The sequence below is a fragment of the Homo sapiens genome, chromosome 1 (assembly GCF_000001405.40).
Source record: "Homo sapiens chromosome 1, GRCh38.p14 Primary Assembly".
Taxonomy (NCBI): Eukaryota; Metazoa; Chordata; class Mammalia; order Primates; family Hominidae; genus Homo; species Homo sapiens.
The window spans coordinates 232,802,081-232,819,710 of NC_000001.11; the positions used below are offsets into that span (position 1 = coordinate 232,802,081).

General features: G+C 38.8%; 1 protein-coding gene and 1 long non-coding RNA gene across 2 annotated transcripts in view, besides 3 other annotated features; both read left to right on the plus strand.

Annotated features, from left to right (window-relative positions):
• Nucleotides 3,131–3,728: an enhancer, noted in NCBI's record as "H3K27ac-H3K4me1 hESC enhancer chr1:232940957-232941554 (GRCh37/hg19 assembly coordinates)". NCBI's record gives its function as "activates a minimal SCP1, AML or CMV promoter by ChIP-STARR-seq in primed H9 embryonic stem cells {active_cell/tissue: H9 hESC(primed)}" and the evidence as "EXISTENCE:reporter gene assay evidence [ECO:0000049][PMID:30033119]".
• MAP10 (microtubule associated protein 10) lies at nt 3,336–7,849 on the plus strand. The gene has a single exon (NM_019090.3). The coding sequence runs from the start codon at nt 3,370–3,372 to the stop codon at nt 6,085–6,087; it is 2,718 nt and encodes a 905-aa protein (NP_061963.3). The 5' UTR covers nt 3,336–3,369; the 3' UTR covers nt 6,088–7,849.
• Nucleotides 3,440–3,519: an enhancer, noted in NCBI's record as "active region_2732". NCBI's record gives its function as "activates an Ori minimal core promoter by ATAC-STARR-seq in GM12878 lymphoblastoid cells {active_cell/tissue: GM12878}" and the evidence as "EXISTENCE:reporter gene assay evidence [ECO:0000049][PMID:35858748]".
• Nucleotides 3,729–4,325: an enhancer, noted in NCBI's record as "H3K27ac-H3K4me1 hESC enhancer chr1:232941555-232942151 (GRCh37/hg19 assembly coordinates)". NCBI's record gives its function as "activates a minimal SCP1, AML or CMV promoter by ChIP-STARR-seq in primed H9 embryonic stem cells {active_cell/tissue: H9 hESC(primed)}" and the evidence as "EXISTENCE:reporter gene assay evidence [ECO:0000049][PMID:30033119]".
• Nucleotides 7,850–13,248: 5,399 nt separating the features above from the next.
• LOC101927711 (uncharacterized) overlaps nt 13,249–17,630 on the plus strand; it is a 92,142-nt gene continuing 87,760 nt past the window's right edge. Inside the window, exons 1-2 of the long non-coding RNA XR_949278.3 lie at nt 13,249–13,687; nt 14,009–14,205. This is a non-coding gene — a long non-coding RNA (uncharacterized LOC101927711). The remainder of the gene's footprint in view (nt 13,688–14,008; nt 14,206–17,630) is intronic.

Here is a 17,630-nt window from a genome sequence, read left to right on the forward strand (position 1 = left end):
TTTTCACCCCAAAGTTATTTCCCCTAGAAAAAGTAGTTAACATCATATCTGATCATCAGAGATCAACCCAAAATTCTTGCAACATGCACTGTTTCAAAGTAATTTACATAAAAGAAGAAAATAGTGTCTCATTACTATACTAATTCAGGTCTTATATGAAGAAATTAGGTTGACATCCAACTTTTGATGTATCCTTTCAGCCCAGATCTCTCTTGTAAGTTTCATATCCATATATCTAACTTAGATCTATCTACCTGGATGTATATCATGTATCAAACTCAGCATATCACACACTGAAACTCATACTTTTCACTTGTGTCCTTCCCTACTTCTTTCTCTAATGACAGTAGCTTTTTATAGTTCAATAATCCAGTCTCTTGCCTAGCCTGACCTTGACCTGTGAAAAAAACAGCTAGCTCCTGCATGAAAAATAAAATACAGAGCATAAAACCTTTTACAGATTGAAAATAATGGGCCCACGTTGGATAAATTATTTTTTTGCTAACTACAATAGCAGTGTTTTAAACACTCAGCTAAAAAGTGTGCCATGTGGCAAATAATAAATAAAACAATATTTATTTTAACAAATATTTACTATATGCTAGGCACTGTTCTAAGAGTTTTGTAAGTATTAATTCACTTAACACACATAATATTTTTATGAGGTAGTTAGTGTAACTATATTTTTCAAATGAGGATAATGATTCACAGAGAGTTCAGAAACTAGTATAAGGTCACAGAACCAGGATTTGAGCCAGGTAGTTTGCTTCCAGAACCCAGGCGCTCAGCTACTGCACTGTGCTACTTCTCCATGTGTGGTGTAGAAACATGGGGAAAATATTTGTCATGGCAAAATTTTATTTGTTACTTTTGGCATTATTTACAAGTATAAAATATTATTCATACATTATAATACCAGTCATGTAGAGTAGCTGGGTAGAGAAGTTATTATCATTGCAGAAACTACATATTGCAGAAATAATGTCTTTATAGAAGAGGGACTTCGCTTTTTCTATTCATATGTAAGAGACATACAAGTGCTACTAGTGCACACTATTAACTTTACTCAAAAGGCTAACTACAGGATATCTTCTAAGAGGAATTTTGTCTACTGTATTTCTCTGGCGCACATGGACTCAATACCTCATTGCTTTTCACTTGTGATGATGTCTTTTTTTTATTGCTCTACATCATCTATCCATTGAGGATGTTGCTTGATATGTGTCCTCTGCAAGTATATAGCAAGATTCTCAAAGCCAAGAGAAGTATCTTGTAATTTTTTTTTTTTTTTTTAGATGGAGTCTCGCTTTGTCACCAGGCTGGAGTGCAGTGGTGCGATCTCGGCTCACTCACTGCAACCTCCAACTCCCTGGTTCAAGCGATTCTCCTGCCTCAGCCTCCCAAGTACCTGGGATTACAGGCATGCACCACCACACCCAGCTGATTTTTGTATTTTTAGTAGAGACGGGGTTTCATCATGTTGGCCAGGATGGCCTCGATCTCTTGACCTCGTGTTCTGCCTGCCTCGGCCTCCCAAAGTGCTGGGATTACAGGCGTGAGCCACCGCATCTGGTCCGAGAAGTATCTTGTATTTATATATTGCAATGAGACTTCTCTCTCACGTCTTCACACTAAAGCATCATATCCCTCCAGTTCTGAATTTCTCTTGAGCTTCACAATGTTCTTCTGAGCACTGAAGCAATATAATTTAACTATAATTTATAAAGCTGAATAAAGCGGTACATATATAATGCCCAGCAGCAGGTACCTCAAGCTTTACATATCTCAAAACTCAAAGTATTTTTTTCCGTCAAATCTGTGCCTCCTCAATATTTTCACCTTCAGTAGCAGAAGTTTTTCACCCATGACTTTTCTTTCCCATTCACCAAATTTTAAAATTCCTCCATCACAAATGCCTCTTCTGCCACCTCTTTTTAATTTCCACTAGTCCTGACCATGTGCAGGTCATAATTATCTGCCTCTTAGACCACTGCAGTAGTCTTCTAATAGATTGCTCTGAATCCAATTTCTAATTAGTAGAATCCATCCTTTGTATTCCTCCCCATGATACATTTCCAAATATTGCTATGATGTACTTATTCAATCAAAAAAATTTGGACAGAATATAGTCCAAATTCTTTACCATGGCATTCAAGGCTCTCCAAAAACTGGCCTTGGATTCCTAGCTGGCTAGCTCATTGAGGTTAGGAGTATGTTTCTTAAAATATCTGGATAGAGCAGCAAGTTCTGTGTGTCTCTGTAGATGTGTGTATATTTATGTACACACATTTGTTTTATTGATGGAATCATTAACATTACTCTCATGCATCATGATTGCTTAGCTGGAAATGTTGTCAAATAAAAAACAGGGCCAGACAGTAGTTGAAGTGGCAAAAACACTGTAGTCAGGAACTACTGCAATAAGAGAAAAGAGACCTCAATACAGAGCTGGGCTCAATTCCAATTACAGCATGGACAAGTGGGGATTTAAAGCCAAGGGGGCGTCAGGTCAAGTGGATGGAAACTTACTGATAGGGAACATCACGGGTGGGAGGGTTCTGATTAAGCAGGCCTAATAGGATTCTTGCTGAAGCCAGGCCAGGGTGGTCAGATACCAATGATAGAAAATGAAGAATTTGATCAGGTATCGACGGTAATCAGGTATGAAGGGTTGGGGGTTCTCTCTCAACAGCCGTAGCGAGACCTTTGCTACAACTCGGTGATCCAGGGTCCACAGGATTGGAAGCCAAGGTCAAGGCCTAGTCGGAAAGAAGGCTTAGATGAGCCTGACCAAAGTTCAGCCAAGGAGAGTTTTTGCCAGTGTATTCACACTCCGTGTGTGTGTGGTGTGTCTGTCTCAGTACTACTGTAATTGATGAGGCAGGGGCTCCCTGGCCATCCCAGCAGTGTCACCATCTTTTGGGTAGAACAGCAGACACAGAGATGGCCCACTGTGGACAGTTAACTAACTGGCTCTGTTTAGCATGGGAAAGGAAGGAGAGTCCTGATTTTCTTTCAATATTCCTCAGGTATATTGATCTGACCCCCAAGTTACATAAGATCTGCAGTGATAAAACCATTACCCAAAAAACTCACTGTCTTTTACCACTTATATCCTCAGCATTATCATCAATTGTCTTAATACAAGGTTGGTGGCAAAAAACGGCTCACAAGTATGCATACAAAGGGGCCAAACACATTGAGCAGCAAAACCCCCAAAGCAGACACCGCCCGAGACCCGCTGGAGCGCTTCCGCAAATCTCGCGAGATAGCAGGCAGCGATGCCTTTTGCTCCGGTTTCTCGTGAGACCCCGGGGCTTCAGCTTCTCGTTTGCGGAGCCCGCGGCGGCGTTTCCTGGGGCAACAGCAATGGCGGCCTCGCTGTCCGAGCGGCTCTTCTCGCTGGAGCTGCTGGTGGACTGGGTGCGTTTGGAAGCCCGGCTGCTGCCGTCCCCCGCTGCCGCAGTGGAGCAGGAGGAGGAAGAGGAGGAAAAGGAGCAGGGGGAGGCCTCGTCGCCGCGCGGTCTGTGCCCCGCCGTGGCCTTCCGCCTGCTGGACTTCCCCACGCTGTTGGTTTACCCTCCTGACGGCCCCGGCGCTCCCGCCGCCGAACCGTGGCCCGGTGTCATCCGCTTCGGTCGCGGCAAGTCCTGCCTCTTCCGCCTGCAGCCTGCTACCCTGCACTGCCGGCTCCTGCGGACCCCGCTTGCCACCTTGCTGCTGCAGCTGCCCCCTGGGCGCCCGACGCCCACCCCACAGCTCCTGGGGGCCTGCGACATTTCGCTGGCCACCGCAGCGCACAGGGTCGTGGGGCCGGCCGCCTCCGGATGCTCCCACCGTCACCGGGGACGTTTCCCCCTGCATAATCGAGTGGGCGAGCGGACTGGGGACATTGCACTGGCCTACCGCCTGACTGACCTGGGAAGCCGCCTGCTGAGCCAACTTGAGCGGCCCCTCACCTTCACCCGCACAGGAGGAGGAGCGGAGGTCAGTCCCCAAACCCAGCAGGAAAGACAGCAGCTGCAGCAGCCAGCCTCACAGCCAAGCCCAAAAGAGGCTGATAAGCCGCTGGGGGAGTTAGAAATCCCAGAGGCACAGAAGGATTTGAAGGAAATGGTTAAAAGTAAGGCCGAATGTGATAATGTGGGTTCTGTGGAGAATGGCAAAACCAATTCTGTTGTTACATGTTCAGGTGCTGGCAATGGGAGAAATGTTAGCTCCCTAAATGAGGAAGTCACAGAATTGGACATGGAGACCAATATATTTTGCCCTCCTCCTTTGTATTACACTAACTTGACCCAAGAAAAACCGCCCCCTGCACAGGCTAAAATCACCATTGAGCCTCAAATGAATGCACCTGAGGAAATGGATGATGCTTCTCCTGAAAAAAAGCGTGTAAATCCCCCAGCACACAGGAGTTGTCTAAAGCATCCAAGTTCTGCAGCACACGAACATCCTCCAATGCTTGTAAATCCTCCACATATTCAGAATATAGGAGCAACTAATCAAACATGTCAAACTGAACAAAATCGAATTAATACAATAAGGCAGTTGCCTTTGTTAAATGCTTTGTTAGTTGAGTTGTCCTTGTTATATGACCAACCTGTGACAAGTCCTGCTCATATACATCCTCACCTAGCCTGGTTATATAGGACTGAGGATAAGAAGTCACCCGAATCTTCTGCCAAATCCACATGCCGGTCTGAAGCCAAGAAGGATAAGCGTTCTGTGGGGGGATGTGAAAAGTCAGTGAGTCTTCAGTATAAAAAGAACCAAATTGAAAACTATAAGGAAGATAAATATTCTGAAAAGAGCAGTGGTGCCCTCCATAAAAGAGTTCCAAAAGGGAGGCTACTTTATGGCTTAACAAATACACTAAGACTACGTTTAAAGCTGACAAATCCTGATATGTTGGTGGTACATGAAAAAAGAGAACTATATAGAAAAAGACAATCACAAATGTTGGGTACAAAATTCAGAATTCCGTCATCCAAAGTTAAACTATTAAGCTCTGCAGAACAAAGTCAGAAGCCACAACTGCCTGAAGATAAGTATTTAGATTCAGATGCATCTTTCACTGAAAATAGTGATACCTCAAGACAAATCAGTGGAGTTTTTGATGAGCCCAGCACAAGTAAAGAAACTAAACTGAAATATGCAACTGAAAAAAAGACAGTTGATTGTAGTAAAAATAGAATCAATAATGTTTCATTGGAAGAAGTTGTGAGTCCTGCAAATTCCATTATTCCAGAAAGGCTTACCCCTACAAATATTCTGGGAGGAAATGTGGAAATGAAAATCCAAAGTCCATGTGTTTTCCAACAGGATGCTGTTGTTGACAGAATTGTAGATAAGGAAATAGATATTAGACAGGTCAAAACCACAGATAATGACATTCTTATGGCTGATATAAGTGACAAGAGAACAGGTAAAAATAGTTGCTATGAAAACATCTCAGAACTGAAGTATTCAGATGATTTGTCTAGCCCTTGCTATTCTGAAGATTTCTGTACCAGTGAGGACACCAGCAGAAGTTTCAAAGCTCATGATAGCAGTTCAAGGACAGAAAATCCAAAACATAGTCAATATACAAGCAAGTCTAGTGACACAGGAGTGTCCAAAAAGAAAAATAGTAGTGACAGGAGTTCTATCCTTAGCCCACCTTTTTCAGCCGGGTCACCTGTACACTCATACAGAAAATTTCATATTTCAAAGACTCAGGATAAAAGTTTGGAGGAAGCATCTAGTATCTCTGCTAGTGATTTATCTTCAACACATTGGACTGAACAAAAAGAAAACCAGATAGATCAAAATAGTATGCACAATTCTGAAATTACAAAGAGAGCTCAAGACATCTCTGTTAAAACAAGAAGTAGTTGGAAATCTTTAGAAAAAAGCCAGTCACCACAAACATCCCAGGTGAGTTCTTACCTGCCTTCAAATGTGTCCGAACTTAATGTCCTGGATAGCAGTACATCAGATCACTTTGAAGAAGGCAATGATGATGTTGGTTCACTAAATATTTCCAAGCAATGCAAAGATATTTGTGAATTAGTAATAAATAAACTTCCAGGATACACAATGTAAAAATACATGCTTTTAAAAAACTTTCAAGGACCTATGTGTACTGTTAGTGAAAAAAATTTTAAAGCTGTTTTAGTTCATGAATTATGTGAATAATTTTTTAAAGAAATATGAATTAACGTTATTCCTTTGATGTTTAAATGGTATTTTACCATTAAATCTGATAATATTGATTATTAAATCATATAAACAGATTTCTTTTTAAATTGTTTAATCATAAGAATAAAAGTGTGTCTTTCTAAATTGTCTCTCTTAAAGTGTCTAGTCTACAGTATTGATCATTCTAAAGCTGACTTCATGCACACCACTGAAAAAGAAGGCTAGTTAGTAAGGACAGCCTCAAATTTTAATTGGAACAAATTATTTAACAAATATAGAAGACTTACTGTGTTAGATGCAGAAAGGTGCAGAATCTATTTATGATAGAGCCCTGCTGTTTTAAAAGCTTACAGTTGTATGTAGATAAGAAGTCTTCCTTGACATATACATATCCCATATCCCCAATAGGTGAAGTTGCTTTTATATGCTCTCATAGTGCCCTGCACCTTTTGTTTATAAGCCACAATTTGTGTGATTACTTGATTAAAGTTTATCTTCCACTAGGCTTCAGTTGTGTGATGGGATCATATTTGTTTTACACATCAGTGCATTTTTGTATCTAGCACAATTCCTGGCATGTGGCTGCAGTGCAATAAAAACATTTGTTGAAAAAAACGAAGCCCAGGCATTTAAAATACCTAATGGGAGGGTTTAGAATTAAGCAGCAAAAATAAGCAGATTCCCTAAAATAAACCTGCAGAAAATCCTTATTGGAAATATATTTGACTGTAATATTTCTGTTTTGCTTGGTATAAATAGCCTTCAGGTGTTCTCTGAAATATTTGGAAAGGGAAACTTAAGAAGGTATCTTTTATACAGTTTCTGATATAGGAGTTCAGTTTCTTGTCATTTCAGTTTGTTCAATGGTTATTTTTAGTGTATGGAACTTTGTTTTTATGAAATCCAGTGATAATTTATAATTTATTCCATTGGTTTTATATTTAGACTTTATTCTGTGTTCAAATATTTACATATATTTTCTTCTAGCTGTGTTATACTTTAATTTTTAGACTTTTTAATATATCTAACGTTTTTGAATGTATGAAGTGAGGTTCTAATTTCCTTTCTTTAAAGGTAATTAATTATATAGGTATTCTGAATGATCATAATACTAGAATATAGATAGATGGTAAAAAGAGAGAAGAGGATGTTACATTTTGGGGAGCAATATGAATAAAAGAGTGATGGGAATGAGCCTGATATATTTATGGGACAATTTAAAATATTATCTTGAATAGAATGATCCACTCATGCTACAGAGTGGTAGAAAGGACATTTGTTGAGTAAGGAAAATGCCAGATTACAGAGAGCCTCAAATGCTAAGTATAATAATAGAATTCTAAGCAATAGGAATAACAGATTATTTTAGGTTATAAATGAGCACTAGTAAGTAGTCATGACATTTTGAATATTTTAAATTATTGAAAATAATAAGCAGAGAAATTATATCAGTTAAAGTTTTGAGATATGAAAGGTTTCTGTGGCTAGTGGCTATGATCTTAATTTTTCTAAAATATAAAGCATATAGTATAACATTTCACAAAATCAAAATATTGTAATGCCAGGTATTGTAACTAGATGTTTAATGATGTGAACTGTGTAAATTGTTTAATAGCAATTTGTCATTACTATGGAAGAGACAATAAAAATATAAGCAATATCAGAATCATCAAAGAAATAATTCCTTATAAACCAACGTTTTATTTGGTAGAGAGTAAGTCATTGTCTGTGGTAAGAATAGGTAAAATGATTAATTTAGCAAGTCTAAGGTACAACAAGACCAAAAAACTAATGCACTTTAAATTACAAAGCTGAGTAGCTGAATCCGCTTCTCTTTGAGTTAATCCATGAATACTTATTTCTAGAATTGTGATAATTGTTTCTTCTAGTCTAATTCTAGTGAAAATATCTGTTTTCATGTATTTAGTCCTTCCTATTACATTCTACAAATTCTACTCCATGTTTTAATTCTACAATCTATAAGCTTATTTTAAAAGAATTTTGTAATAGATACTATTCATGGAGCCTTATTTATCTCCTTAGTTGCTTAAAATTATTGAAACATGAAATAGTATTTCAAGTCACAAATAAGGGAGACTGTCATTTCATTGTAAAACCAAGCTATTGCAAACCTTCCAAAAGGTCTTCTGAATATCATGGGTGTCTAAACTGCTATGGACAAAGCTGAGTGGGAGAGGGTCTAAAATGCAAAGTGAGCCACAGAAAAGATGTTAAGACCTACCTCTATGTAATGTTGAATGTTTACAGCTTAGGAACCAACCACCAATAATAAGTCCTCTGAACTGTTCCCATAAACATTTGCAGAGGGCTGTGCAGATGCATACAGTACGCTGGGTTTTTTCCCTTCACTTACAATGCATGCTATTGATGACATTTTCAGATGCAAAGAACAATGATATTAAACTTCTATCATGCAATTATTATGGCTTTCTGCTGAGAGCCACTCCTTTACATGTCAATTAATTTAGATTTTTCTTCATGTACAAGCAGTGAATTTAGTATGGAATTACATTTAGGAACCAGACTTTTATTGGTAGCAAAATATAGGTCAAGACTGTTAATTAAAAAACCCAGCTTTTAAATTACCACACTTGTTGGCAAGGCAGATAAATTTCATAACAAAGCAACATATAAATAATATTTAAATTTCCTGCATCAAACTGTCCTTGGGCCTAGAGAAAGACATTCTTCAGTCGGTTTATGTTTTAATTTAGATTTAAATATTTAGGGAGTTGTACAGAATGACAATATATAGGCCAAAACTTGCTGAGTCATTCTTTTCTTATTTTTAACCTAAAACAATACAAGGAAAACTTCATTTGGTCAAGGACCAAGGCTTTCTTAAGTGATTTTCTCTGGAGACCTAACTGTCATGCCTGGAAGTAACAGACTTCAGGAGGATCTTCATTAGCTTGGAGTGCCAAGCCTTAGTGTTAGAAGTATTTCGTTGTTTTTAAAAACTCTTCTCAGATCTCTGTTATACTGAACTATAATAATTCTAGAAAAAAATTAGAAAACTTAGATAAGAGGTTTTGCTTCAAAATTGTGTACTAAGGAAAGGTTATAGTGTTTTCCTTCCAAAATTCCACGGAAATGACAGACATAAAAATATGAATGCACCCGAAGTAGCCTTGGAAAACAAGGAAAATGCTGGTGGTGGACAAGACACCCAGTTTGAGGAACTTCTGGAAGACACAAAGCAGTTGAGATTATGTTGATGAAAAAATTGGTTACAAATCCACTCTTCAACACAGCCCCATGAGAATGCTTCTGGAGAAATGAGAAGATGGTATTTTCCAACAGAGCCCCAGAAAAAGTTCAAGCTGGTCGGCAGGGCTTGGGCATAGGAGCAGGTTAAGGGACAACTGAGGGAAAAGCAGAACCCTGAGGACAGGCAAGAAGCTGGGGTGGGCTCAAGGTTACCTACTAGAATAGGTATTGGGACCAAGGAGAAAAACTATTTTTCACCTTTGACACCAAAACATATATTCAAACTGTCTCAATGTTATTGGAGCGACTACTAACCCTAGTGGCAAATTAAAATGGTATAAACCTGGTCATTGGAGACAGACAAATGGCGTTTGCATCCTTGATTATTTTACTCCTTGGAGACTTTCTTCATTATAGAATTGGTTTCAGGATTGAGTCAAATAACATATATAGCATATATGACAATGAGTGTGAGTGAGTGTTAGGTGATGTATTTAATGATATTACAAAGAATGCACCGTGGTATCTGTATTCCAGCCTAGGGGGATGCATTTTCAATTAAAACTTCAGTCAAGAAATCAAGTCTTTCTTCCAGAAAGTTTAAACAACTTTCCTATAGCATAGCAAGGCAAAAGAAGTCCATGGTGATAAAAGAGTCAGCACAGACTTCTGGCCAGGCAAGAAGACTTTAGGTCACAGAGCACAGCCACAAAACCAAGCAGAAGAAGGAGCCCTTCTCAGAGTACTAAGCAAAATGGGGCATCTAGCTTTGTGCAGAGTACTTAGGAGAGGGGACTACAAAATGTCCTTACTATACAGAAAGAAAGGAAACACTGATCCAGGTCCCCAGTAAAGACAAAATTTTCTAAAAGAGCAAGAAAGTGGTGTATCAGTGCTGGGAAGCATACGTTTCCCTGCAAATCTAGGTAAGTAGCCCCTCCTATATGAGGTTGTTTTAAAACCTCCTAAACAATTTTTTTTTCCTGTTTATATATAGTCCATGTTTTTTCATAGTAGGTACACAAAAAATGTTTATTCTTTCCTTTGAATACCTTGAGGTCTGGGGTGGGGATGGGGTGAGTGGGGAAGGAGCTGTCATAATGCATCATAATAAAATAGGTAGAAACTTACAGAACGAGTTGGGAAGGGATGAGACTTAGCTTTCAGGCCAGATACTGTAACTGAGTAGTAGAGCCCTTGGTAGCAGAAATCCATGAAAAGATTTGGGTTTTAAATTGAAAGGAAGTTTGTGTTTTACAGGAACAGGGCAGCACAGGAGATTAGATGAGCTCCTGAGCAATAGTGAGACAAGGTAACAGCTGAAGGTCATACTCAGAAAGAACATAGAAGAGAAGAGGTCCATGAGTCAGTAAGTCGGTGACTGCAGGATCAGAAACCTATACTTATAGCTTGACTATTTAGGATACTCTATGTTATGTCCCTTTCTATGTGCTTCTTGTTTTTAATATCGTTCTTTTTGAAGGATCTTCTAGTTGATCCATACAAGCAGTAGGAAATGACTTTGGTTGTGGCTATAATTGAGCAGAAATCCTAAAGGGAGAGCAGCATATCCCTAGAGTCTACATTATCAAAAGACTGAGAAAAAATATATAGGGCCTTTTAGAAAGTCCCTTCTTTTTACCCAAAGATTTCTCGTTCAGCTCTTCTTTACTGAAGACCTTGGAGCACTTCACAATTTGTTTTATTAAGGGAAGCTGTTCAATCACAGAGAGTCTCACACCCATCAGCTGCCTTGAGTACTGTATCTCATTACTAACAATTTCAGCGTCAACCTTGTGGAGTGAATTGGGACTGAATTCTGGACTCAGAATGACGTAACAAATAGTGGATTGCTTTAGATACAGAGGAGTCTATTTTCAAAAGAGTTGGCCTGAAAATTGTTTCTTGCATATCCAACATTTTTAAGACTATTTCCAAGTACTTTGGGATAGTGTTTATTAACCTGAGGGAAAAGATCTTTGTAATCGCCTGAGAAAGTCCAGCATGGGCGACAAAAGCGAGACTCCATCTCAAAAAAAAAAAAAAAAAAAAAAAGTCCTGAGTAGGAACATGCACGCCTCTTGTTAGCAAAGTACTCTGTATCCCTGATATTCTCTGTAATAGCCAGAAGCCAAGTATGTCGGAGGGCAGAACTTATATTTTCAGGGGAAACTTCCTTCCATTCTAGTGCTTCTTTTCTACAGTGATTTCTTGGTGCCCTCTTCCTACCTCACTGATCACAGTGTGAGTTCCTACTGTCAACCTCTAAAAACCAGTGTGAGAGGCAGGATCTTACTAAAATTATGGCTTCATTTTTCATTGGCAAATAGGATTGTTAATAATTTGTTGATGTGTTGTTGTCATTAATTTTAACACTAACGTCTTCTTATACTGAATAGCACTTTACAGCTTATGAAGGACTTCCACTGTTTCACTTCATCTTTACCAGAACCCTGTGAGCTAAGTATTAATATAGATGAGGAAACAGGCTGTTTTCCATATTCATTGCCTTTCTCACTTTCATAGAGAAACTGAAAGACTTTCAGCATAAATCTCAGAAAAATAATGTTTCTTCAATCCTTATAATATCATTTCCAGAATCAGAGTCTATCATTAGATTAAATTCCAGTTTATTTTATTTTGTTGTGGTAAGAACACTTAATATGAGATCTACGCTTCTAGCAAATTTTTAAGCATACAATTCATTCTTGTTGACTGTGGGCACAGTGTTGCACAGCAGCTCTCTAGAGCTTATTAACCTTGCTTGACTGACACTTTATGCCCAATGATTAATAATTTCCCATATCCCCCTCATCTCAGCCCCTGACAACCACCATTCCATCCTTTGATTTTACACATCTGACTATTTTAGATACCTTGAGCAGAGGACCTACCTAAGCAATGCCTGGACTCCTGACTCATGAACACTATCAGAAAACATGGCTGTTGTTTTAAGCTGCTAATTTGTTATGCAGCAACGGAAAAATAATGCAAGTGGCCATTGAAAAACACCATGGCAAATCAAGAGGGGGAGACTTTGAAAGAAAGGAAAAAGCTTTATATTTTAGATACTTTAAGAAAGATCTATTTTTATTCCTTTTTTGAGCAATAAGACCTACATTTTCATTTTTGACAGAGTGCCACAAATTGTATAGCTGGCCCTGGTTGTTACTCCAAGCTGGTAGAGGCAAATCCAATTGCTTACATGTTTTCCATTGTGTTATCCAAGTACATATAGTATTTGGCACTACCTTTGTGGACATAGTTATGTGTATCATACTGGAGCATTCTCTGTTGGGGGTTACACATTTTCTCTTCAGAATCTAGAACATTATCTTTAAAATTTTAATTTTACAGTCTGAACTAAAATGCCTACATTTCACACTACTGACAAATTTGGCTTCTAACACTTGTATACAGGATTACTCATAGCAACTCTTAGGAGGTAGAGCTAATGTGATTCTGCATACAGTATTTTCAGTATGTAACATGAAATTATTGAACAATACATAATCATTTATTAACTGTCTCTGTTCTTGTCAGTTACGGTGATTTCCAAGGATTTTTATAAAGATTGGCTTTCTTTTTTTTTTTTTTTTTTGAGACACAGTCTCACTCTGTTGCCCAGGCTGGAGTGCAGTGGCACAATCTCGGCTCACTGCAAGCTCTGCCTCCCGGATTCATGCCATTCTCCTACCTCAGTCTCCTGAGTAGCTGGGACTACAGGCGCCCGCCACGACACCCTACTAATTTTTTGTATTTTTAGTAAAGATGAGGTTTCACCATGTTAGCCAGGATGGTCTCGATCTCCTGACCTTGTCATCCACCCGCCTTGGCCTCCCAAAGGACTTTCTTAATAACGTTTCTTTAGCACTAGTTGCAGACTTCTATAGTAGTGCTATGCCCTTCAAATGGGTTGTTTTGCCGATGTTCTTGGGATATGTAAGTGTAACCAGTATGGCCCCCTGCACTAGTGTGGGGTATAAATATAACAATCCCCCTTTTACATTCCAGTGGATTATTCTAGCTCCATATATTTATGTTAGCAGGAAATCCAGCACCAAGCTTTTATGAACTCCATCATCCTAAATGGTCCAAGATCCTGAGAAGCTTACTTGGCCTTATTTGCATGGTTGCTCTTGACAAATGCCAGGCCATGTTGCCCACCAACTAGACTTGGTTTTCAACTGCTGTGGCTTCTATTGCTGTGACACAGTGTTGCACCTAAAGACCGGTTGCCTCTCTGGTTCTGATCGCCACACAGATCTCCAAGGTACAAGTGATTATGGTTTTTACTCACGAGCTAACATTTATGGGGTGGCTGGGTCTGAAGTTGTCTTAAAGGCCTTCCTCATCACGATCTATATATTCTGTGTGGAACAAGGATCACTAGTACAGGTTCTTACTTTCCTTGTTTTCTTGGGTTTTTAAGGTCCTTTCCTACAAGAGAACTTTGACTGACATTATCCTAAAACCTCAGAGTTCCTAATAATTTTAATCATCTAAAGAGAAAGGGTCATGGGCTTTATCTTATTCCTCACTGAAGCCTACTTATCTCCATGTAAATTTACTTTCCCTCTCTCCATTTCCACAGAATCACAAAAAGAATCTGAGATTTGTAGGCCGATAGATGTTGTCTTAGTTCATTTATGCTGCTATAACTGCATGCCACAGACTGGGAATTTAGATGAACTGAAGTTTATTGGCTCACAGTTCTGGAGGCTAAGAAGTACAAGATTGAGGGACTGGCACTTAGAGAGGGACTTCTGCTGCATCATAACATGGCCAAAGGTGAGTGACCGAAAGAGAGTCAAAAGGGGGACAAACTCATCTTTTTATAAGGAACCCACTCCCATGATAATGACATGAATCTGTTCATGAGGACAGAGCCCTCATGGCCTAACCACCTCTTAACCGTCCTTCTTCCTGATACCATTCCAATGGCAATTAATTTCAGCATGAGTTTGGAAGGTGACAAATGTTCAACCCATAACATATGTTATTCTACTTCTATTTACATAACCAAGAGTGACCTTTATAGTGTTATGGGAAGAGTCCAAGAACTTTCCTTGCAGAGTTTTCTGTGTCCCCTTATGGAAAAGCAGTTGGCAGTGCTAACTTAAATAAATAAAATTAGGTTTACCTGTGCCAACTACCTGTACAGATGTGTATGTTGAGAATGTCTTATTCCATTTTTTTCTCCCTAATCACTAGCAAGGAGGCTAGCATAGTGTCTTCACAAAATATATTGTCTCAGTCCGTTTGTGCTGGTATAATAAAATACCAGACTGGGTAATTTATTTAAAAAACAGAAATTTATTTCTTACAGTTCTGAAGGCTGGGAGTCTAATATCCTGGCACCAGCAGGTTCAGTGTCTGGTGAGGACCCAATCTCCAATTCCAAGATAGTACCATGTTTCTGTATCCTCTGGAGGGGATGAATACTGTGTCCTTACATGGAAGAAGGGACAGAAGAGCAAGAGAGATGAACTCCCTTCATCAGGCCCTTTCATAAGGGCACCTAATTCCATTTATGACATGACTCAATCACCTCCTAAAGGCCATATCTCTTCATATGTTGCATTGGAGATTAAGTTTTAACATGAATTTTGGAGCAGATGAAAGCATTCAAACCATAGCATATATGCTTCATGAATTTAGGTGGAATTGAATAGAAACAATAATCAACACTAGCATAAATTCTTATCTTACCAATTAGGGTGTTTCATACTTTGTCTACCTCACTGCTTAGCTAAGAGTTACTCTGCTATCCAGAAATTTGGAGGTTGGACGCTGGGAATAATCATCCATGAAACTAGCTTGCTTAGTCCCCTGCTATCTCAAGGTGTAAACCAAGACAGAACTATTTTGATAATCTCTCAAACCAATCCACTTGGCTGATAATATTTGGATCCACCTGGCTTAAGAATGGAGATGACCACAGACCAGGGTGATATCACTGCCCATTCTTGATGCTGCCCCATTGTCTGAATTTACTCTTGGATGAGTTATGCAAACTGACTTCCCCCAGAAGGATGCACTTTTGTAGCGGATGTTTTTCTGGCTGACAATGGTTCCAACATATGGCACCTCCTAGGAGACACCAGAAGATTGAAACGCTCTGATCTCCATGCTTCAACTGCATTCCTTCAAATAGCTTGGTTATAAAACCCACAACAAATAAAACTTCCTTTAACACTATCAGAGTGTTAGGAAGAGCTAGACTGTGGTGTATATTTAGACCACTTTGTACCTGAATTTAAATTTTAACATTCTCTTCGTAGGCAACCAGTTTCACTGTGTGCACTATACAGAAGGATAATGCAAATGAATGTGGTCCCAGTAGCTTGTTTTTATTATGTAGCATTTCAAACATTCAGAAGAATAAATAACACAACGAACTCCTATGTACACATCACCCAGATTTAACTCAGTGATGACACTGGACTGCGTTTTTAGTCTTTCTTTTTCTCCCTCCCTCCCTTATTTTCTCATAAATAAATAGACACAACTGAAAGTCTTTTGTTTCCCCTCCCCATTGCTTTGGCCTCCCTTCCAAGGAGTAACTCTTGCTCTAGGCTTGCTGTATTTCCTTCCCATTTCTACTGGGGGATGCATAGGTTGTTTCCAGATTTCCCTTAATGGAAACAGTGCTGTAATTCATATTCTTGTCTCTCTGTTCACATGCGCTCGAATTTCCTTAGGGTTTTATATGTAGAACTGGAATACCAGGCCCTAAGTTATGCATATCTTCAACATTGCCAAATCACTCTCCATAGCAGTTGAACCATTCACCATGCCACTAGCAGCATGTGAGAGTTCTTGTTTCTTCACCTCCTAGCCCAAAACTGGCAAAGGATAAATGTTTTCATTTTTACTGCTATATATTTAATTACCCTAGCTTTACAGTCAGTCTTGATATTCAGAGAGAAAAGGCTACCCTCTATTTTTCTTCCTTTTTTATGCTAAGCCAGAAGTTCTTAAACTTTTGGTCTCAGGAACCCCTTACATTTTTAGAAATTACTGAAAATTCCAAAGAGTTTTTTAAATGTGGATTATATCCATCAATATTTGCTCTATTAGAAATTAAAAATTAAGATATTTAATGCTTATTTATGAATTCATTTAAAAGTAATATTAGCAAACCCATTACATGTTAATATAACATTTTCAAAATAAAGGTAATAAATTTTCCAAAGCAAACATTTAGAAGAATGGCATTGTTTTACAGTTTTGCCATTTTAAAAAATGCCTGGCTTAATAGAAGATAGCTAGATTATCATATCTGTTTAATTGAAGATAGCTAGAGCCTCCTACCTGCTTCTTCATTCAATCTATCATGATATCACATATTATGTAACCTCTGGAAAACTCCACAGTACACTAATGAGAGAATGAGAGTGAATATGGCAAATAACGTTTCAGCATTATTATGAAAATGGTTTTGACCTCATGGACCCCGTCCTGACCCTTCCCAAAAGGTTCTTGGGAACCCCAAAGAATTTCTAATCACACTTTGAAAAGTGCATTTCTAGACTCTTTTTGGCCCTTTTTCTTCCATGTGAATTATAGGGTCACTTTATGAAGATCAAGGAAATAGATTTCTTAACATATTGGAGTAATTTGTCCTTTAGGGGTTGGTAAAACTTGCCTATAAACATGTCTGGGCCTTGTGTTTCTTTGTGGTAGAACTTGGTGCTCACATTGTTTGGGGACCTGATTTTATTAATATATGATTAAAAATATCAATTGGACTGCTGTTGTTTCCTAAAGTTTTAAAATTTAGTGTACTTTATATACTTTTATAAAACATGTAAAGTTGTTTAAAGTTTTTTTTTGTTTTTGTTTTTGTTTTTTTTTTTTTGAGAAGGAATTTCACTCTGTCACCCATGCTGGAGTGCAGTGGCGTGATCTTGGCTCACTGCAACCTCTGCCTCCCAGGTTCAAGTGATTCTCCTGCCTCAGCCTCCCGAGTAGCTGGGATTACAGGCATGTGCCACCACGCCCGGCTAACTTTTTGTATCTTTAGTAGAGAAAGGGTTTCACCATGTTGGTCAGGCTGGTCTCGAACTGCTGACCTCGTGATTGACCCACCTCGGCCTCCTAAAGTGCTGGGATTACAGGCGTGAGCCACTGTACCTGGCCTAAAGATTTTTAAAAATATGATTTTGAAAAGTAAAAAAGGAGTCAAAGATTGTCTATTTACTTTCACTGAC